General features: G+C 37.7%; 1 protein-coding gene and 1 pseudogene across 6 annotated transcripts in view; one reads left to right on the top strand and one right to left on the bottom strand.

Moving 5' to 3' along the window:
- TAFA2 (TAFA chemokine like family member 2) overlaps positions 1 to 23,062 on the top strand; it is a 551,762-nt gene that overhangs the window by 375,576 nt on the left and 153,124 nt on the right. For 5 of the 6 annotated variants that reach the window (XM_024448962.2, XM_047428774.1, XM_047428773.1 and 2 more), the window contains one exon: positions 17,033 to 17,139. In XM_024448962.2, coding sequence (XP_024304730.1) covers positions 17,033 to 17,139 — 107 coding nt within the window. Of the gene's footprint in view, positions 1 to 8,551; positions 8,690 to 17,032; positions 17,140 to 23,062 lie in introns of those variants that run through there. The other variant, XM_024448966.2, reaches the window with a different exon arrangement.
- KRT8P19 (keratin 8 pseudogene 19) lies at positions 3,487 to 5,215 on the bottom strand (annotated as a pseudogene).

The following is a 23,062-nucleotide window of genomic DNA, read 5'->3' as shown; positions in this document are numbered from 1 at the left end:
CTATTTATGTTAACTGGAAATGGTAGTGGTGTCATATGAGCTACTGTCAAATATATTACCCAAAGAGCTCGTTGATGGGCTTTCTTTGGAGATGTTTGATCATCAAATGATGCAAAGGGTTTGTATAGATTTTACATGTTTAGGCTGATGTCCTTTGCAGTCCCCCAGTGCCTCGCTGGTACCTACTACATTAAGGGAAAACACTTCCATGTCGCCGTCAGCATTCTAAATATTCTGGGTCAGCGCCATCGTTTCAAGCTTACCTCTTATTCCTCCGCTTAATACACTTTAGCGTGGAGCCAAATGAGATTACTTGCCATTCATACTCTTTGCATGTTCTAAATTCTGTGTCTTTCCCCAGCCTGCTCTTTTGGCTTGACATTACTTTCTTCATATCTCTCTATATTAAAATCTTACCAATATGTTAAGGTTTAGTTCAACTATTTCCTACTTCAGATCAGGGTTCAACATTTATTGAGGACCTACTTAGTGTAAGAAATAGAGTACTTCACATATGTTATCTAATGCAACAATCAAAACTGTGGAGTAACTGGTATTCAGAAAAATCTGTTCATTCAGTCATGAGTTTTTCCAACTCAAGGATTTGAGAAGGTCAGAATATTGGTAGTTTTCTATTTTTTTATTTCATAGATGGAAAAACTGAGTTAAAGTAATTTGCTTCAGTTCATAGAACCTGATTTGGGTGAATACATCATTAGACTCAAACTTGGAGTTTTGACTACTGGTCTGGTGCTTTGCATTATTGGTCAAAATTTCATGAAGTCACCTTTTGACTCCTTAAATTTGGTATCTCTTTCTAAGCCACTATAATCCCTTCTTCAATATTCATACATCATTCTCTTACTTGCATGAGCTCACAAATCTTTTATTCCTTTATTACAAGTCCTTTGAAGGAAGCAAGAAACTGGGGCTTGCTGACCTATCCCTTATAGTGTCCACTGTGGGGCCTTGCATAAAATAAGAACTTCGTAATAGCTGTTTTGGATGAATATACCATGTTTCCACAAATCAAACTTTGAGTAAGCAGCCGCATTTTCCTTATGTTTGCATGATTGCAAGTGTGTCTGTGGTGACTAATAATTACTATATTCCAATGACACATGTGTAGTAAATAATGCCTTTACTCTGTGGTTTCAGGCTAAGTGCCTCTTTGAATTTAATTAAGGTAATGCCATTATATTCTTTTCTTTATGAAAATTAATGAAAAACAATACATTATCACAAACTTGTAATCTACTTACTAGCTGAAAGATGAATTTTTTTTGTTTACTATGTTATCATCAAACCCCAAATTAAAAATTTACAACTGTAATCAGATTATGGGCTCCATGTGTGCAGGCAGGGACCTTGTCATTTTCACAGCTATATTGCCAGTGTTTAAAGTAACAGTAGATGTTTAATAACGTTTGTTAAATGATCAGTTAGGTTGTAGTTTCCTTGGAGGATGAACCTTTGGCTTTGTAGATAATATATTTTTAAGATTAAAACTTGAGAGACACTTTTTTAATCCTTGCAACAACCTTGTGAGGTAGTTAAGGCAAGTCATATTACCTTTATTGTACAAAATGATCAACTGAGGCTCAGAGGAATTAAAGGATTCCAGAAATCATCTACCTAAACAGGTGACCAAGTCTTGAATCCAAGTATTCTTACTCCAAATCCTGCATTCTTTCTGTGTTATGTAGTAGGTAGAATATATAAATATAGCATAGAGTATTCACAAGGAAATAAAGTGAGGCGGTTTTTTAAGGTGCTTTCTGGAAAGTTATATGTAATAAATTGGAGTGAATTTGACATTTGAAAGACGATACCAAGAAAGAAGCAATGGTACTGATCTTGGTGAAAGAGTCTGAATTTGAGCCAGTTCTGAATTGTCTTTTAAGCCTTACAGTAACAGAAAAACTAAGCACAGCCATTTTATTCTCCTTTTACCTCCATTTCTCAGCTTATGTGAACCATAAGCTATTTAAGTCTTCAGAATTTTACCAAAGTATTCTAAATATCCTTTTGTACTCTATTTTCCCCCCAATCAACTGAGAAAACCAGCTGACTTCTTTGGTATTTTTATACCTTGTGCTTTATTGTTTTCCTCCAGTGTTTTTCTCCCGACGCCAAAGTGCAGATGCTGTGATTGCTACTTCTAGCTCAAGACATCTGTTTTTCAGTAGGTCCTTTTCTTTCTTTCATTCCCAATTATAATCTTTATGTGCCACTGCTAAAGTGTAGAGTAGAAACATCAGATCCTGTCCTTTCAAGAATAAATACTCTGTTTTTAGCCTGTGTTTTAGCCTCTGGATTCTCCCATGGAAGGCAGTTTTTAAGTTGGATTAGTACATTAAACGTCTTCAAATCTAAGGACTTTAAAGCACTCTTATAAGCACAGTTATTTCATATAATGGCACTCATTTGAAGTCCATAGGTCTAGGCAAAATTTTCAATGTGGGTAAATAAGAAGCACAGAGAAGATAACCAAGATTTTTTTTTTGTATTCATATGTTCCCTTCTTGCTTTTTTTTTTCTGATTCAAGTCAGAGTTTACACAGTCCATGAGTAGAAAGTGCTACCTACTCAGAAATAAGATGGCTTCGAACTGAAGCCACACCCTGGTGGCCCCCAGGCTGTATTTGACATGCAGAATGTTCTTTAAAATGAGATTAATTGATAACATTTAAAAATGATGAATTTCAGATATGATTCTGGATTTCTGGCTCCTGAAGGGAAAAGGGAGGGTGGGGGTGGTATGAGGCTCTCCTTCCCATGTGTCCTCAATGGGCTGAAGCAGAAAGTTTCCTGGAGGTGAATTGGACAGTGAGATGATTGAGCCCTCACTTCACTGACTGGGCTGTATGGCTCCTACCAGCCCCATCATATATTTGTAGTCAGTTTTTTCTGTACAGTCATAGGCTGCATACAATGTTTTGGCCAATGATGAACTGTCCGTACAATAGTGGTCCCATAAGATTTAATATGCTATTTTTACTGCACCTTTTCTATGTAATTAGATATGCTCAGACACACAAGTACCATTGTGTTACAGTTGCCTACAAGTTTGTGACCTAGGAGCAATAGATTATCCTAAATAGCCTAGGTGTGTAGTAGGCTGTACCATATGGGTTTGTGTCAGTACACTCTATGAGGTTCACACATTAAAATTGCCCAATGATGCATTTCTCAGAATGTATCCTGATTACTGAGCAATGCATAACTGTATATATAATATTATATTGGCAAATAATCAGCTAAATTTATTTCTAGCCATGTGTAATTCCTCTCTTGTTTAGCATTTAAAACAAACCCATGGCCAAGGCATCTTTTTTCATAGGCCCAGAAAAAAAAATTTAGTAGGAATTATTTTAACATATTCTATTTTATATTATGGAAATATGACATTAGAATTGTTTTCATTATCAAACTCTTTTTTCTTTTTGATAGTTGGCAGAGCTAGCTGAGGGTTTATTTTGGAAAAAAAAATGAATTGTTTTGTAGCTGGAGGTATGGGGAAGGGGGGTCCCCCGGCAGTAAACTCCCGCCGCGGGTGGGCTGAGGGCTAGGGCTGAGTCTCAGGTGGGTCTCCTGTTCCCTGTGCTCCCCTGCACAGTGGCCTCTCTCATGGGCTCTGGGGCAGCTGCAGGGGGGAGTAGGGTGGGAGGGGCTGCCATGGCAGTTCACTCAGGCAGGACGTCAGAGGACTCAGACACAAGCTTCCCATCGCGGGTCTCGATCTTCACAACCATAGCCCTGGTGGAGCTGGTATGGCTGAAGTAGCTGGAGCCTGCAACAGAGCCAAAGCTAGAGCTCAGGCCATAGCTGAGGAGGGGGGCTTGTGAGGCCCCCATAGGCCGAGCTCAGCCCTCCTGCGTAGCCACTGGTGGTCTTTGAGTAGATACTCATGTTCTGCATCCTAGACTCTTGCCAGCTCTCTTCACCCTCCAGCAGCTTCTTGTAGGTGGCAGTCTTGATGTCCAGGGCCAGCTTGACATTCATCAGCTCCTGGTATACACGCAGCTGCTGTGCCATGTCCTGCTTGGCCCACTGCAGGGCGGCCTCCAGCTCCAACAGCTTGGTGTTGGCATCCTTAATGGCCAGCTCCCTGCGCTTCTCGGCATCTGTGATGGTGGCCTCCAGGGAAGCCCTCTGGCCTTTGAGGCCCTTGATCTCAGCCTGGAGCCAGCTGACATTCTGGTTCATCTCGGAGATGTCAGTCTTTGTACACCTCAGGTTATCCCCGTGCTTCCTGGCCAGCATCTGCAGGTCCTCATACTTGATCTGGTACATGCTGTCAGCCTTAGCCCAGCTGCAGTTGGCGATCTCCTTATACTGGGCCTTGACCTCAGTGATGATGTTGTCCATGTCCAGGGAGTGGCTGCTGTCTATGGACAGCACCACAGACGTGTCCGAGATCAGGGACTGCAGCTCCCAGATCTCCTCTTCATGCAGCTGCCTGAGGAAGTTGATCTCATCAGTCAGCCCTTCCAGGTGAGACTCCAGCTCTACCTTGTTCTTGTAAGCTTCATCCACATCCTTCTCGATGAGGACAAATTCATTCTCCATCTCTGTATGCTTATTGATCTCATCATGGTACTTCTTCTTGAAGTCCTCCACCAGCTCCTGCATGTTGCCAAGCTCTGCCTCCAGCTTCAGCTTCTCCTGGCCCAGAGTCTCCAGCTGCCACCTAAGGTTGTTGATGTAGCTCTGGAACATGTTGTCCATGTTGCTCTGAGCCATCTTCTGCTGCTGCAGGAGGCTCCACTTGGCCTCCAGCATCCTGTTCTGCTGCTCCAGGAACCGTACCTTGTCGATGAAGGAGGCAAACTTGTTTTGAATGTCTTGATCTGCTCCTTCTCCTGGGTGTGCAGAACCTGGCCTGGATGTTGGGGTCCACCTCCAGGTTAAGGGGCCTCAGCAGGCTCTGGTTGACCATGACAGCAGTGATCCCTCCAATACCGCTGGCCCCGCCAAAGCCTCCACCCAGGCCACCCTGGAAGCTGCTGCTGCCCACTCGGGAGAAGCTTGAGGAGCTGATGGGGGCACCGGGACCACTCGTGTAGGAAGCGGCTGCTGAAGGCCCGGGGGCCAGAGGTGGATACCTTGTAGGACTTCTGGATCACCTTGATGGACATGGTGGAGGCAGGAGTGGAAGCAGGTGGGCCCCAACCAGGCGGAGATTCGAGAAGGAGTGGAGAAGCTGCTGCTTCTTCATTATCAGACTTTTAATGGAAAGAACTTTGGGCCTGAAGCTGGAAGAATGTTTTAAACATTTTTTTGAGACAGGGTCTTGGCTCTGTTGCCCAGGCTGGAGTGTAGTGGTGCCATCACGTTTCCCTGCAGCCTCCAACTTCTGTCCTTATGTGATCCTCATGCTTCAGCCTTCCAAAGCGTTGAGCCACAGCATGAACCACTGTGCCTGGTGGATAACTGGTTTTGAGTTCTGGCTGTGCTAATTACTAACTTTGACTTTGAACAAGTCACTTACCTTCTTTAAGCCTGCTCCCTCATCTCTGCAAGAGGGGTGATTCCATCTGCCAGCCTCATGATCATGTGAACCAAGGATGGTCACAGATGTAAAAGTTCTTAGTATACCATATGGCACTATGCAAAAGTAAGATACTTTGTGGGGAAATAGAACTATACTGTATGGTTTGTCAAGGAGCTTAGCTTCTATTTACAGATACAAGACTTACATATAATATAAACAACAATTGAAAGTATTCTACTGCCTACAAGAGGTAGAGACATTAAATGTTATTGGGCATAAGAAAATGTGTGTGATCATGCAGAGCAACCAAGCTCAAAATTAAAAGGACATATGTAGTGTTTCTTCCATCTATTTATTTATTCAACAAATATTTATTCTGCACACACTCTGTGATAAGAAACATAAATGCTGGAAATAAAGTAGTGAAATAGAAGGCATAGGTTTGTGCTCTTATAGTAGATTGTATTCTAGTAGGGGAAGAGAGAGACAATAAACAAGTAAGCAAATAGGTTAATACTATTTCAAATACTGTTCAGTGCCACGAAGAAAATAAATGTAGGTTATATGGTAGAGCCAATGAGCAGAGCTGTTCCCATTACGACTCTTGCCATTTTATCTGTTTTTCTTCATTTTTATTGTTGTAAAATAGACATAACATAAAGTTTACCATTGTAGCCATTTTTTGTACAATTCAGCAGCATTAAGTACATTCACAATGTTGTACATTACCACTTATCTATTCCAGAACTCTTTTAAAAGTCATCCTGTACAAAAACTCCATATTCATTAAATAGTAACTCTCTATTTCTCCCTCCCTTCAGCTCCTGGTAATCTCTATTCTACTTTCTGTCTCAACGAATTTGACTATTCTAGGTATCTCTCATGTAAGTAGGACCACACAGTATTTGTACTTTTGTGTCTGGCTTATTTCACTTAACATGTTTCCAAATTCATCTATGTTGTAATTTCTTTTTAAGGCTGAATAATATTCCACTGTGTGTGTATATATATGTATATGTATGTGTGTGTGTGTGTGTATATATATATATATATATATAAAAATCACAATTTGTTTATCCATTCACCCTATTACCTAATTTAGTATGATTTGGTAATAAGTCTAATTTATACACTACTATACAGTTTACAGAGTACTCTCATGTCCATTGTACATTGCAAGAAGAGTGTTAACTCAGGGATTACTGGTTAAATTCTTGCTAAACTGTAGTGATATCTGGTACTTGTTTTGTGTAGTATTATATCTGATGTGTCCTGAATCCTTCTTCCTAGCAATTGAAGTAATGGGATACAAATTGAGAAGAAATAAGGTCAGTAGGTTTTAAGCCAATATGAAATGACGATGGCTGTAGTTTGGACTAGTTCTTCATATCCCCATAATGTAGGGCTTTCCTCAGGGTGTTCTTTGGAGAATTTTTTGAAAATAGACCCAGGTAATAGGCTTCCACCACCACCTTGGGGCATAATTTCACAATAGAATACATCTCACCAGTGGGAAAATTTCTCACGATTGCACATTTAACCACTTGACTGCTGCTTTGCCATATGATTGCATACTGCAGGAAAATACCTGCATCATGACTGAGGAAACCAAATTCATCCATAAGGAAAATGTTAGGGGTGGAACAAAGCGGCTGATGGCAAATAGAAGTTAGAGTAGTGTGTATTATGTGACCAATTTTATTCATAAAGGGAAAGAGTAAAAAAGTGAGATTCTAAAAGCTACTGAAATCTTATTGCAAAAAGAGCAAGTCAGAAAGCAATATGTTATAGAGGCTTACTGTAGACTGAGGTTTGTAGCACAGAGTGGTTGCTGCTTTGATTCTTAATCAGTTGAGTTCTCAGTTGCTTAAGCTGTTAGCTGAAAGCTGAGTATGGTACTTTGTTATATTAAAATCTGGTAATGTTCTACCTTTCCCTCAAAGACAGCTCGTTAAAGTATATGAAGTAATGTACAACTATCAAACACATATAAGGAGTGTGAATAGAATGTAGTTATAAAAGTGTGTGGGTCCCAGCATCGCTGTCTCTTTCATTGTGACGTTGCTGTGCTCAGGGATTTAACGCTAGTGCACATAATTGTCCAAAAATTTTGCTTAAACTATTATTCTCAGAGAGAAGTGTGAATTCAAGTGAAGTTGATTAAACAGTCTATTCTTGGACTCTTTTCTTTTGGCTTCTTTTGAGAACATAGAATAGCATTCTTTTTGACACATAACTACTATCTTTTTTTTTTAATGGTTTGTTTGCTTTTGTAATTTTTGATGGTATGGTTGAAATATGTTGATGTTGGTGCTTTAGAAGGGATGGTTATATGAGCAGAGGCCTTCGGATATGCAACTTTAGCTCTTCAGTTCACCTACCTTTGAGAACAATCTGTGTTGAGGAGGAGGTTCCATGTTTTAATGGTTTGCTGGTTAAGCTGTTTTGCTCTCTTGAATGCGTGCTGTTAACTAGCTAGTGCTGGCTGGCATATTGACCATACTGGATGGTTAAATGCATAAAATGGAGAATCCTTCATATATGTAGGTGTTACTATGGTGAGAATAAATGTTCTTGGACCACAAACTTTATCCTAACAAAGAACTCTTAAAGATTGTTTTCGTTGTTCTCACTCACTTTTTCACTCCTTTGCCAGCATGCAGGAGAAAGAGCTGAGGTGAAGTGGATTTCTTCTGTGCCTCATTTCCCAAGAGAACAGGTACACCAGAACTAAAGGAATGAAAGTCTTAACTAGTCCCAATGATAATAGACTGAAGAAATATTTAGAACTGGTTCCATTACCATAGCTTATTTGCATTGATAAAAGCCTTATTATTTGCATTATAAAAGTCTTATTAAAAAAGAAAGAAAATGTTTTATTATGAATATTATATACAGAATTAGATATTATGTGCAGAGCTATCTCTCTTTTTACCATATATAATCACAAAATTAAATATAAGGCTTATGATTTAGCCATCTATAAAAGGCTACATATAATTGGAATTTTCCTTTCTTATTCTATATAATGGTCCTCCACCTAGCAGTTGTGAAATGTAGTCATCTCCAGATCATGCAGGAGTGGAAGCTTTGTGAATTGTTTACAGATCTACAAGTCAACTGCTTGTCTCCTACCACCTGTTTCAATTCATAGTGTGACATAGTGCCATTGTGTTAAAACGGTAGGAGAAGGTAATCCAATTTTTTCTAATTGTTACTACTTTTGTCTGAAGTTTTTGTAGGAGCAGAGGGCAAATATAAAACAAGGTTTAGTGTTGTCTAGATCTCAATTATCCAGCCCTGTCCTTTACAAACATCATCATGATTTGGTGGACACATACATTTCATATTAAATTGCAAAAATTAGATTTATTTTCAATTTAGTAGCTCTAACATATTTTATATTTTAGCTTTGTTAGACTCAAATTTTTGATGGCTTATTTTTTGATATAATATATATCTTGTTACAGTGGTTCAGTATGAAATCTCACTTTTGGTCATACTATATAACCGTACCTTATTTTCCTTAATCTTTTTCTTTGGGAAAAACAGATTTGGACCCTGGAGGAGATAGATAATACTATAAAACAATAAGCAATTGATAAGGAGAGGAGCACTGAATAAAAAACAGAAATGCAGAGAAAGAAAGTAGTTTAGGGTTAAGACTGAAGTGGAAAGAGATACAAAATTTAAATATTATGGATGCACCCTCCTCAAACTATCTACAGTCACTGAGAAAAGAGTAAAATGCCTCAACAGGGCACGTGAGAATGAAAGACATACCTTTAGCTTTCGTTACATACATTACAATATTATATGTAATAATATTTGTACATTCTTTATGTGTGCATTGAGACTCGATGTTAAGTAAAGTTGACAAATTTATTTAACTATTATTTGTTGGAATCCAGGATCACATTTGGTTTTTCTGACTTATAAGCCCATGCTCTGAGAGAAGGACCTTTGAAGAAACAGTAACACCTCTGATTTTTCACATCTTTCTTTAAGTTCAAACTCTCCCGTGATTTCTTGTTTACTCTAATGGCATTCCTGTTCGAAAAAAAAAATAGACAACATTCCCATTTTATAGACAGAAAGGAGGGCAAGTGATTCACTTGTAATAATAGATGCATGGTGATGTAGCTTAGCCTTGATCATTTCAGGTGTCTTTCTAGGGCTCTGAAAAATCGTAAATGATTGCTTTATTTTTGCCTTACAGCATTGTCTTCTGTTTTGGATGTTAGAGCTTGGCACATTGGAATATTGTGTTTCTGGAGAAATCATTTAAATGATAATACATTTCTATTCCATATCATTTCAATCTGTGGGTGGTAAAGGTATTTGCACAAATCCAACAATTTGACTATACATGGCTAGGCATAAAGCAATAGTGCTCCTGAATTTTTGTGCCCACCAGAATTGCAGTATTGTGGGGAAATGAATGAAAGTATAAAATTTGGGTGAAGGAAGCAGATAATTGTGGTTCTTAAATGAGGCTTGTGTTTGTTGCCAGAAAATCCTTAGAAACCAATGCAGCTTTCTTGGGTAAATCTCCAGGGTTGACTTCTTTACTGAACAGAATTAAGAGCTGGATTCATTACAAAACACTGATACATCAAACTTAATGAGCATTTTAAAACAAGTGTTTCAGTTCAGACAAAGTTTAGAAACCGATTAAAGTTTCAAAGTCTGTGTTTTGAAGTTGTCTAAGAAAATATGACCTAGTTAGGCTAATCATATGACTAGCTTGTAAAAATACAACTCTATAAATTTTTGATTATAACTTACAATATAGGAAATGTAAATACTAGTTCTTCAATAGGAAAGTTCTGACACACATAATGTGCCTAGTGAATGTGGCTTAAAATGCCATCATGTGATAATACTTGATATATGATATGAAGTGAAAAGAAAAACTGTAGTAATTAAAATGATTAAAATCAACCACCTCAGTTTCTGGATGATATAACACACAACATACATGATTATATGTATGAGTTACATTATTATCTCCTAATTTGTTACTGTATACCCTTTATATATACAACTTACATGAGTCTCTTGTGCTTTAATATCCATATATACCTATTTAATCTCTATGAATACCGATGGCACCATCCACCTCAAAGACAATTGCTATTTCAGTAATAACTTGGATATTCTATATTCAGGCATAGTGTCATAAAATTCTAGTCAGGTTAGACATGATTTTGGATAAAAGCAACAGTGTAGTCAAACTTGTAGCTCTCGATGCCCTATTTAGTAGGTTATTTGTATTAATCTATTAGTAAGAACAAAGAATGGTTTAGTTTTGGAGGATACATTTAATTTCTATAAAAATAAGGAAACTAAAGGAATAATAACAATAATAGTTTATACTTGTAGAATGCTTTACATTTACAAAACTGTTACTTATTTTTTGACCTCATTTGAAAATTAACTTTCATAATCTACGCTCACTTTGGTATCTTTAACTCCTCCCTTTCTTTTGGCTCTGTTGACTTGTTTAAATCTCTCTAGCCACCACTCCATCTTTACTTTCCTTCTCTGCATGTTTCTTGAAAGAGCAGCACACCAGCATGGCACATGTATACATATGTAACTAACCTGCACATTGTGCACATGTACCCTAAAACTTAAAGTATAATAATAATAATAAAAATTAATAAATAAAACTTGTGCAACCTCAAAAAAAAGAGTAATCTAGTCTTTGTTTCCATTTCCTCATCTCCCACTCATTCTTCTCACTTCTATTGCTCCACCAATATGTACTGTTCTTCACATCTCCATTTCTAGTTGTTAATATAAAAGAAGTAATAAAACTTCTCCATTAAAAAACTCACATCTTTTATTCTGATTATATAATACACCTATTTCTTCATTCTACATCTCTTGATGTTCCATGATCCAGGTGATGTTCTATGTGCTAGAGCAGTGACTTACAGGCAGGATCTCTGCTCTCATGGAAATTACATTTTAATGGGAAGAAGGAGAAAATAGACACTTATACAAATGTATAAAATAGTGAATAGAATAATTTTAGATTAGAATAAATAGAGAAAATGCTACAGGCTATTTGGAGAGAGAGAGAGAGAGAGAAACTGCAGGGTGGGTCTCTCTGGACTCTGGAGGGCAGGATGGTCATAATAATCTCTGTGAAGGTGATTATGAAAAGCAGACCACTACACAAAGACAGGTGGGAGAACCTTCATGGCAGAATTAACGTTTAGGGTAAGGTCTAGATTTAGCTTGGCAGAGGGGATAGTGGGAGAGCCAGTGTGCTTGAAGCGTAGGGAACCTGGGGTACAGGGATGTGAAATGAAGTCAGAGTGGTTGAGAGGGAAGATGATGTTGGTTTTTTTCTCCAGTAAGAGATTTATATTTTATTCTAATTTCAATGAATAGGTAAATTCCGGGATTTTAAGCAAGGTATAAGGCCAGTGGGGCAATGTGATTTGATTTACATTTTATAATGATCATTCTGGTTCCTATGAGGAGAAGGGGCACGTGACTAATCCACCGCGCATTCTACCCTAAGGGCGAATTTTTTTCGAGATTTGTCTGTTAAGGTCCATGCCATTGTAACTAGTTAACACCAAGTTTGTCCGGTATTTAGATCAATGTAAAGAATTTTCCTAAAAAGACTTAAAAAAATATTCCCTTATGTGATCTCTATTTCCACAGAAGTGTCTTAGGCTCAAGGGGAGGTCAGGTGGTTGGATTCTAAGCCTCCACTTTTATCTTTTTTATACATCTCCTTTATACTATCTCCTTTATTCCCCCCCTTTTTCCTTCCAGGTTTTTGTTTATAGACCAGTTAAACTTACTTTCTGTTTTCATGGGGAAATGATTTTTCTCATAGCATAACAGTTTTTTATTTCTTGCTTTTAACAATTAAATGGAGTGCGGTGGCGCAGTATGAGCTCACTGCAAGCTCTACCTCCCGGGTTCGTGCCATTCTCCTGCCTCAGCCTCCCGAGTAGCTAGGACTACAGGCGCCCGCCACCACGCCTGGCTAATTTTTGGTATTTTTAGTAGAGACAGGGTTTCACTGTGTTAGCCAGGATGGTCTCGATCTCCTGACCTTGTGATCCACCCACCTCGGCCTCCCAAAGTGCTGGGATTACAGGCATGAACAACCGCATCTGGCCAATTAAATGTACTTTTAACATTAGTGGGATGAGAAGCGTTTCAAATAATCCAAAAGTCTAAAGTTCCGTGTACATAAGTGAAATATGTAACAGAAGAGAAGAGTGGGAGAAAGTCCAGGAGATTTAATCGTCAGTCCTCCACTTCGACAACTTTTCACTTCAACATCCTTCACTGCCAGGGTTACCATTTCTCAGTTTCCTCTTTTCCCTTGTGCTCCTTGCAAGCTGCTGCTGCCTGGGAGCGATTTCAAGGTTTCCTCCTCTATGTGTATTTTCCTTTAGTTTCCAGTTTCTTTTCACTGTTTTTGCTTTTTGCAAAATTCACTTAAATTTTGCCGTTTTCACAAATGAATGTGGCAGTTCTTTTTTCTTTTTGTGTTGGAGCCAGGACCACATTCAGTATTTCTGTGCTGGGAAATTTTATACTGAGACCTGGTGGTTAGCAAATAGAGAAAGAAGGCAATGTCCCTCCTTTTGTGCTGTCCTGCAAGGTAAAGAAGAAATGTACATTCAGCTTTTTTTCCTTTAGGTGTTTTTCTCTGGTATTGCCCCTTTGTCAAAAATCCTTGATCACTCTATTATGTTTCACTTTGTTCAAACTTGATTGTTATTTAAAAATCAGAATAAAACACATTGAAGATTGGATTTCATTTTTCTCTTTTCCTTCTCAGTTTGCTCTGTCTTGTTGCATGCCCCCCCGACTCTTTTTCACTTCCTGTTTGTCATCTAGAGAGATGACACACACTTCCTTCCTCTCATGTTAACCACTATGCAATATATTTGTCTGTAAGGCACCACCAACATTCAATAAGTACTTATTTACCAGCTATTAAGCTGGACTTTGGATGAATCCTACAGATTCACAAATGTATGGGGCACAGTTGCTGTCTTTAGGAATCTTATATGAGAATAATGGTTGAATATAAGTAGGTGGATTATAATATGGTATGGCAAGTGGCTGTTGTGCAGAATGAAGGGCACTCAACACGGTCTTGGGCAAATCCTATAGGAGGAATTCTAACCTGCCCTTCTACTAGTGAGTAGAAGTTACCCATTTTGAAGAGTAGGTGGGAATGGAGGGAATAGCTAACATATTTCAGGTGGCATGGTGGGTAAGATTTAGCTGGAAGTCATTGGAGAAATTTTCTAGGGTTAAAAATAGACTGTGAGTGTGTGTGGAGAAAAAGATGGGACAAAATGACATAAAATGAGATTAGAGACATAAAGAAAGGATCAAAGCTTAAAAAAATATTCTGCTGAAGGATTTTCATACCCTACTAAGAATGATGGCCTTCTGTTCTGAACAGAGAAGGGAATCATGTTAAGGTTTTAACCAAGTATGTTTCATGCTCATAAAGACATATTTGGCCATAGCATAGAGAATGCATTACATTTAGTCAACAAAATTTATCAGGCACTTACTAAATACTGCAAATATAGTTGTGAAAAAGACAGACATAGGAGGGCAATTTGGTGGCAGATGTCCAGTTAGGATGCTGTGGCCAGTGAGAAAGTTTGGTGGTCTGTATTGCAGTGTTGCAGTAGTAATAGGTATACAAATATACATTTGAGAGATATTCTGGAGGTAGTATTGACGGAACATGGTAATTAACTGGACAGGAGTGACGATGTTACGAAAAGAAGAAAATACCAGTCCTTACAGCCTTCCAAATGTTGACCTGCATTCTCCTTTCTTTCTTTACTTTGACAGCCTGGCAACTTTGTGGGTGCTTCTGTTTCCATATGTCTAGTTATCAGTTTGACCATCTGTCAGTTCTGTCATCCCATTGGGTGGGTGTACAATGGTATGGAAAAATGATGGGTCATTGCCCTTGTAGCAGAGGCCATGTGCTAAGGAGAAGCTATTATCAAGAATTATGCTAAGCAGCTCTTCCTGTCAGATGAGTTTTGCTGTTCATTCTGTTATATGATATGCAGTACAATAATGTTGCAGGGATTAGATGCAGAGGGGAGTCAGGATGGTTGAAAAAATGTAGAAAAAAAGAGAAGATTCTTAAAACAAATAGTAGGAGTGCTGAGAGAGGAAACAAAGGCAATAGAACGGAAGATTTAAAATGACATTTGGTTTACTGAGAATAAGTTCCAAACCAGGTTATTGTTATAGCTCAATATTTCTCTAAGAGGCTTCCTGAGGACACTAGTGTGCTCTGTTACACTGTGGAGGAGGTTCTTGGAAAATGTTTCTAAAAGGCATATTTGGCAATATGCCTCTTGTTAAAAAAATCTAGTTAAATTGGTTGAACTCACAATGTTACAAATATATATCCCCCCTTTATTTTTCACGAATACTTTAATAACAGTCTGTGGAACTGGTGCCTCACAGAGTGAATTTAGGAAAATGCTAGTCTGACTGAGTAATGATTACAGTAATGGCTAGCGTTTATTGAGCATTTATTATTTGCTATGCATAGTGTTAAACCTTTTACACAGACTATTTCATTTAATCTTCATACCAACAACACTGTTAGGTACATATTATTATCTTCGTCTTACTGACAATGAAAATAATCTGAATTATTAAGTAATTTGTTCAAAGTCACATAGTCAGCAGGAAGCCTGGTTTTAAACCCCAACAGTCTGATCTAAAAGCTCAAATACCTATCTTCTTGTATGTTATCTTTGACATGTCATGAGGCTAAGGTCCACAGAGAGTTTACAGCTGTTGGTGCTACTGAAACTCCCTTCAATCATCTCACGAATGGACAAGCCTCCCAAACACTTAAGGATCAAACATATACAAATGACTCACTATTCTCTAATATCATAGCCATTGAATCCTTAGTACATGTTTGTCAGTGGGCCAGGAATTTCACATACATTATCCTATGCTACAGTAGAAGACAGTGCAGCAGGAGATCCAGAAATTTGCAGAGGAAACTGAAGCAGGAGACCCAAAAAAAGTAAAGTCAGGTAAAGGCCAAATAATTAGAAGCCATTAAAGTTTGGACTCAAACCCCGGCATTCTGACTTAGAAGTTCATGTTTTTATTCTTAAAATATTGCCATCTAAACATTTGAAGTAATCCCTATAACCTCCTCAAGCTAAGAAATGTTAACATATATCTGTATTAAAATACATAATATATAATTTATTTTTTCATGCATTTAGTCATACATGAAAAAATGTCAAGGACTCCTCTTTGAAATTGTATAGCCACCTGTTCTACCTTTGAGTCACATTTTTGGAGATAGAATGTTTTGGAGGTAAAAATGTACAAAAAAGGGTAACCTAGAAAATACAAGAGGAAAAGGAATCAGGCTACATCAGGAAGTGACCCCAGGAAATTGCTTTAAAAGCAGGGCAGGCAAGAATCTTCAGGTCAAGCACAGTGGAGTTCAGTATAGGATCTGAATCGGAAAGTCACAGGGTGACAGACATATATTTAATCGCCCTCATAAATAAATGGAGATGGACTTGATTTCATATCAGTTTTGCTTATCCCCCAGTGATTAATGCAAGAATTTTAGAATTAGACAATTCTGGGTTTGTATTTTTACTCTGTCATTAAATGTGGCCCAGGCAAATATCCAAATTTCCTCATCTACAAAATGGGGATGGATATACCTACAGGCCAAATTTGTTCTTCAGAACAAATGAAAGAATGCTGTAGAAAGTGCTGGAGAAAGTAAGTTCTGAACTTTTATTATAGGTAGCTATTATTTTGTTATAACATTTTTTGCTTTTTCTAGTTTTATGAGTTCAATATGAAAATGTTGATTTGGTATTTTTCATTCTGCTTTTTCATTTTTCTCCTACCTCTGGGAACTTACATCAAGGTGGAGTCCAACAATATTGTGTCACCTGTAGTGGAGTTGTGCACATTAGGAGGATCAGGTTACTTTGCAGTAAGAAATGTATATAACCAGGTGATTTTTAAAAAGCACATTAGGAATAATAGATTTGAAGTGACCATATTCTGTGCAGGAATTCATCTAAGCAATTCTATATAAACTGTTACACTGTCCATTTGACTTGGCAATTGTTAGGAAAAAAGTAAAATAATAAGGCATTTATTTAAAGATTATCCAAATGACCATGCCTTGGGTTTTGTTAATAAACTAAATCTATGTTTATATGGAGAGAAATATGATAATATTTCCAAACTGATTTAGGCTGTGGTTAAGTGGATGAAGACTGAGGCAGGGCTTTGCTTATTTCTTGCATCATATCAAGGTACTTTGGAAAACCTTTATTTTCTCTGATCATCGTTTGTATACAGTGAACAGCATTTTAAATACAAGAAATACAGTTTTCAGAAGTTGAAGGGGTTAAAGTATAGTGGAAGGCTTTACATGTAGCACAATCATAAGGGAAAAGCTATGAATTTGCATACTTATGATTTTTATTATTTTTTTATTTGCAGGATGAGTAAGAGATACTTACAGAAAGCAACAAAAGGAAAACTGCTAATAATAATATTTATTGTAACCTTGTGGGGGAAAGTTGTATCCAGTGCAAACCATCATAAAGGTAAGCTTTTCTGTTTTTTTTTTCAACTAAATGTGGATGATGACTACCCTTAACACAGACTGTTATGTTTTGCCTCCACTGGTCTGTTAAATTTTACTAGGTATAGATTCTCCCCCTGGCAGTTTTCTTTAAGTAATAATGCAGTGTTATCTTTAAGATGGCTTTGATAGAGAAAGATGATATTTTCAGGACTAATGCCATTTCTGTAAATAGTGTTCAAAGAATATGGAAATAGAACTCTACCTTTCCTTCAATTTTTACCTAATGCTAAATGATGAGTTAATGAGTGAAGCACACCAACATGACACATGTATACATACGTAACAAACCTGCACGTTGTGCACATGTACCCTAAAACTTAAAGTATAATAAAATAAAATAAAATTTACCCTGGCTTTTAAAGGAAAAAAAAATAAAAAAATAAAATAAAATAAAAATTGAGTTGGTATATAATAAAGATAAGTTTCAGATTGCACTTATCCTGGTAAAGAAAGTGTCTGTAATGATATGTATCTCAATAATATGTCTATATGTAAATTTTCTTTCAATGTTTTTTGTGGGTCATGATTCTTTATGTCAGAGGACCACTTTGACCACCACTTGGACACTGCCCAGTATTCAGCAGGCTCAATTCTGCCACTGAACAGAGTGAGAATATTTGCTCTATACATATGTGTTAAGCTTGACAACTCACAATTACATTCTTTCTGCCCTCTTTCTTGGCCATAAGACTCAATATAATGAACAACTACTTTTTCCATGGGGCTATTTCTGAACTGTCCCTATTATAATTAAGTATTCATAACCTGAGAAATCAATTTAGATTTTTCTGTAAAATATGATTTTATAATTTAGTTCTCTGCCCACTATAAAGTCTAGAGACTAACAACTAAGTTTCTCATTCTATTTTTGGGAGAAGGGGGAATTAAGACTGGTTTGAATTCTGTAACACTTAAATTAGTTACACATGTCCGTTTAATTAGCATTACATGGAACATTAACACCAGGGAGAGAAAAGACATGGTGTGTGGGACTGACACTTATAAGACTAATCTCTTCCCCCTGTATTTAAAATCAAAAAGGGACATCTTGCAAAATAAAATTTTATGAAGAGTTTCTTCATATTTCGTTATCCTGTTTTCTACCCACAGTATGTTTTCGTGTGTGTGAATATATATATTCATATATTTTTTCTTCTCCTTTTCTTTAATACAGCACACTGATCCACAAATCAGACTTTAAATTCTCTTTAATATTTTTATCAGTGTAAAATTAAAAAGATGATGAGGAGGACATTCCCTGTGGTCTCAAATTGGCAGCAACCAACAAGACCAAAGAACGAAGTAGTATTAAATACTCATCTTTTAAAGAGCTGCAATCCAGTAGGGCCAAGCCCTGCCGTGGACTTAACAAGAAAACACTCCCCATCCTCATTATTCTGTTGGTCACCTTAGTGCCCCTTCCCAGCTTATGAAAGAAGAATTGGAGGAGTGGGGGATCATAGAAATTGTGGGCTTCAGCCTAGCACAGCAAGTGTTCATGATAAAGATACTTTCCCCTGTCCAAAGCCAAATGATGGGGTCTCTTAGAGAATCACTCATAAAGACTGCTCACACTGTATATTGCATACTATTGTTAAAGCTACTTTAAGACATTTAAATAGTGTTATGTTCTATGCTAACTCTGAAACTAAGATCTTTTCTTTTTGCCAAGAAAATAGTCCTTGAACATAATAAATTACACATCGTGTCAGAAAACTCAAATGGTCAGAGCTGGTACATTACAGAAGATAGAGTTTTTTTGTGGTTTTGCTTTTCCCTTTCCACACTGCCACCAATATTTTGGATGAAGATTTTATGAAAGTTTTCTCCCCTCCTCCATCTTTCTTCCTTTTGTTCTTTTTTCTTTCTTTTCTTTTTATTTTCTGTACAAAATATCCTTTTTGTTTTGAGCTATTTTACACATAAAATAATAAGGGTTGTGTATATGTAAGTTGTAGCGCATGTTCATAAAATGATTACTAGTGTGCTCACCATCCAAGAAAGGCTGGGCTGCTATCTCCCTAGGTACAAAGCCCAGACTTTGGAGACCCCTTTGGTGTATCTGACCTGTGGAAGGATATAGTTACATTCTAAATGGTTAAGGTAAGAACCTAGGATCCTTTCCACCTCATTTCAAAGGAGCAAAAGATTTTTCTTTCCTTTCAGGAGGGGGAGGGGAATGGTTGTCTCTCTTCTATATATAAATGAAAAGAATCCATTGTTCACTGTCAGTCATCTATGGAATGTTTGGCTACCAATGTGGGACATTTGGCTTGGCTTTCATCAGGGTTAAGGCTTAGGGCAAGGCAGGCCAGTTCACTTTCTATTTATTGTGAATTAATTAGTAAGATATCAGTTTCTGACCCAGAACACCTTGGTGAGCATTCAAGATAAAAATAATACAGATGAATATTAGAAACTCAACAGCACTAAAGAGCATTACAGATGTCAACTCATTTAATCTCTTAACCATCTATGTGGTACTTTTTTTTTTTTTTTTTTTTTTGAGACGGAGTCTCACTCTGTCGCCTAGGCTAGAGTGCAGTGGCGTGATCTCAGCTCACTGAAAGCTCCGCCTCCCGGGTTCACGCCATTCTCGTGCCTCAGTCTCCCGAATAGCTGGGACTACAGGTGCCCACCACCACGCCCGACTAATTTTTTGTATTTTTAGTAGAGACGGGGTTTCACCGTGTTAGCCAGGATGGTCTCGATCTCCTGACCTCGTGATCCGCCCGCCTCGGCCTCCCAAAGTGCTGGGAATCTGCAAGCTTTTGATAGCTTTTTGTTTTCACTCATGTTTTTGGGTTTCTCTTTTTATATCTTACTACATATATAGTTATAGAAATATATGGTGTGTATATATAGAAATATATATATACACACCATATATTTCTATATGGTATATATAGGTATATATATATAGAAATATATACCATATATTTCTATATATTTCTATCTGATGATCCTATTTTATGCAATTTTATGTTTTCCTCCTGGTGACTTTCACTCATGGTAATTTATTTATTTTAGGGCTTCTGACTTTTAAGAAAAATTTTGTGAGCTGATGTTCATCAGAATTGTATTTGTAAGAATTTTAAAGGCCTGTCATTATAATGTATTATTTCAGAGGCAATTTGCGTATGACATGAGTCTTAGGCAGGGTTTTTTGGAAGCGGAGCCAAGTCAGGAATTCTTGTTTACGTGATTTATTGAAAGAGTGCTCTCAGGAGAATGAGAGCAAGTGAAGCAGGCTAGAGCAGGAGATAAAAACTAAGCACAAATAGAGTCTCAGCTGGAGAATCGCCCAGTCTGCTCCTATGGGGAATCTCCGAGGCATGAATTGCTCCACAGAGATGGTCCCTCCTTGAGGCAAGATAGATGGCCTCGTCTACCCTTGTGTCCATTGGCCATTAGCTACTGGCCTGTTCCCCATGGCAAGGAGTGGCCTCTCTGGGGAAGTGGCTCATCTTTAGCAGAAGGTAAGTCTCTAAAGAAGGGGGCACCTGTGAACTGTGATCACAGAACATTCACAGCAAGTGGAGGAAAGGTGCACAGCCCTGAAAGATTTTGGTAGTGTATCAGCAGCTACGTTCTACTGCAGTCTACTCCTCACAGCCCTCAGATCCACCTGCTTCTCACTGAAGGTCAATCCATCCAGGCAAAGCTTATTCAGGATTTTGGTTGGTCAGAATTTCCAAGAAGACTTACTTGAAGAGGAATAGTAAGAGTCCCACTAATGCAGTTGGTGCTCATGGTCTGTCCACCCTACCCCCAGCCATTCTAGATTTTCCTCTCTTTTTGCTAGCACTTCTACTCATGTAGGAGGCTTTCCTAATGTTTTACTAAGAGTTCTGAGCCCTGGGTTACCATTCTCTTGCTGCTGTACTTATACATTGGTAGTTATAACTGGGCACAGGAATGCCACAAGATGCCCCTGTGGATCATCTGTATACCTAATATATTCCTCTCTGCCTCTAGTGCACAGCGGCTGTCTTCTTCCTCATGGTCATCAGGGACCTTTACATTTACCCCATCAACATTGAACTCCTTTTCTCTCTCTCTCTGGTCTATCAGTGTAAGGAGCACAGACTGATTGATGATCAGGCAACAGCTGTAGCTCTGTGTTTAGTGTCACTGCTACTGTTTCCTCTGGTAAACGTATCCCCTTTCTGGGATATGCTAGACCCAGAGCATAGTAAATTGGTCATTTCAGTTGGATATTTCTCATGGAAAAGTTGCTTGTTTACTTAATGATTGTTGAGTAGCTACATTAAGGCCTGAGAATATAGCAGGTACAGAAAAGAGACAAACATCTTTGTTTTCATGGAATGTTTATTCTAGAAGTGGAAAAATAGGTAATAAGAAAAATACATAAAATGGGATGTTTTATGATATAAATGCTCTGGAAAATATATGAAGGAAGAAAGCATATAGGAAGTATTCAGGAGGGAATATAATTTTTAAATAGCCCTTTGGGTAAGATCTAAAGTTTCCAGTAGAGTCAGCCAGTGGAGTATTCAGGGAAAGGATGCTCCAGGCAAAGCAGCAATAGGTATGAATGCTTTCAAGCATGCCATAGAGAATTAGAAATAGCAAGGAGGATGGTGTGCATAGAGAGAATATTTAAGGGAGAGAGTGGTAGATAGGTCATTATGGAACAAGTAAATGTAGAAGATGAAAGAACCAAATAAATAAATACCTCTACCGAAATACAAGTACAATAATATCCTGCTCTTAAGAGCCACCAATGGATAACTGTATTACTCCGTTTTCTGAACATGATGTAGGAACACTGTAGAAATCCAGAATATTTGGATTTGAAAAAATGGGTATCTAAAAATCAGAAATTGTTGTCATCTTCTTAATAAAACCTCTGTGCTTTGAGAACTAACAGTCCCTTACATACAAACAAATAAGTTTACTGCTCAAACTGCCATGGAAAGATTCTGCCCTGAATTCTTACAATTATATTGAGCTGGGCATTTTGGAAGGGATTAAGTCAGAGTATTGTGACAGCCAGTCAGAATGAGCAGTGTTTCCCCCTTGGAAGCAATTACATTAGGTGCAGCTTCTGATATTGGGGATCAGAGAGCAAACATTTTAGTTTAGGATTCCAAGTTCCCAACAGAAAAATATAGTCCTTAATCTTAGGAGGCTAATATGTTTTCTTGTCTTTTCTTTCCTTACCCATCACATCCAAACTAGATTTCTGGAGAATGAGTCATCATTGGGTTTGGGGTTTGGAAAAGAATTTTTATTTTGTTTGAAAAAGATACACACAGGTGAGTTATACCCACGAAAAAAAGGAGCCTAAAAAAGTTAGTTTGATTAGCCAAGGTTGAATATATGTTATCTTCATTGTAATACAAGCTAATTACTGGTCTGAGTGAGAACTTTTGATTGAATGGATCTTTTTCAAAGAAAAACAAAATTTTTTAAATTTTATTTTATTTTTAATTGATATGTGATAATTGTACTTATTTACGGTGTACAGTGTGATGTTTCATTATGTGTATACAGTACGGTAATAACCAAATTTTAAAGATGATTTTTAGTTCAAAGCCTGGGAGACATAGCCATAAATTTTTCTGGACAGATCTTCATTTGTTTGTTGATTCATTTGATAGTTTATTCATTTATCCAACCAACTATCCGTGAAATATATGGGGAGTGTCTGTTAAGTGTTGGGCTTTAAGTCAAATTCTGGAGATATGAAAGTGAGCAGGCTGGGCACAATGGCTTACTCCTATAATCCCAGCACTTTGGGAAGCGGAGATGAAAGGATCACTTGAAGCCAGGAGTTTGATACCAGCCTGGACAACAAAGCGAGAGCCCATTTCTAAGAAAAATGATTAAAAAAAATTATCCAGGTGCGCTGGCCT

This window comes from Homo sapiens, chromosome 12 (assembly GCF_000001405.40).
Source record: "Homo sapiens chromosome 12, GRCh38.p14 Primary Assembly".
Classification (NCBI taxonomy): Eukaryota; Metazoa; Chordata; class Mammalia; order Primates; family Hominidae; genus Homo; species Homo sapiens.
This window is presented reverse-complemented; position numbering and strand designations above follow the sequence as displayed.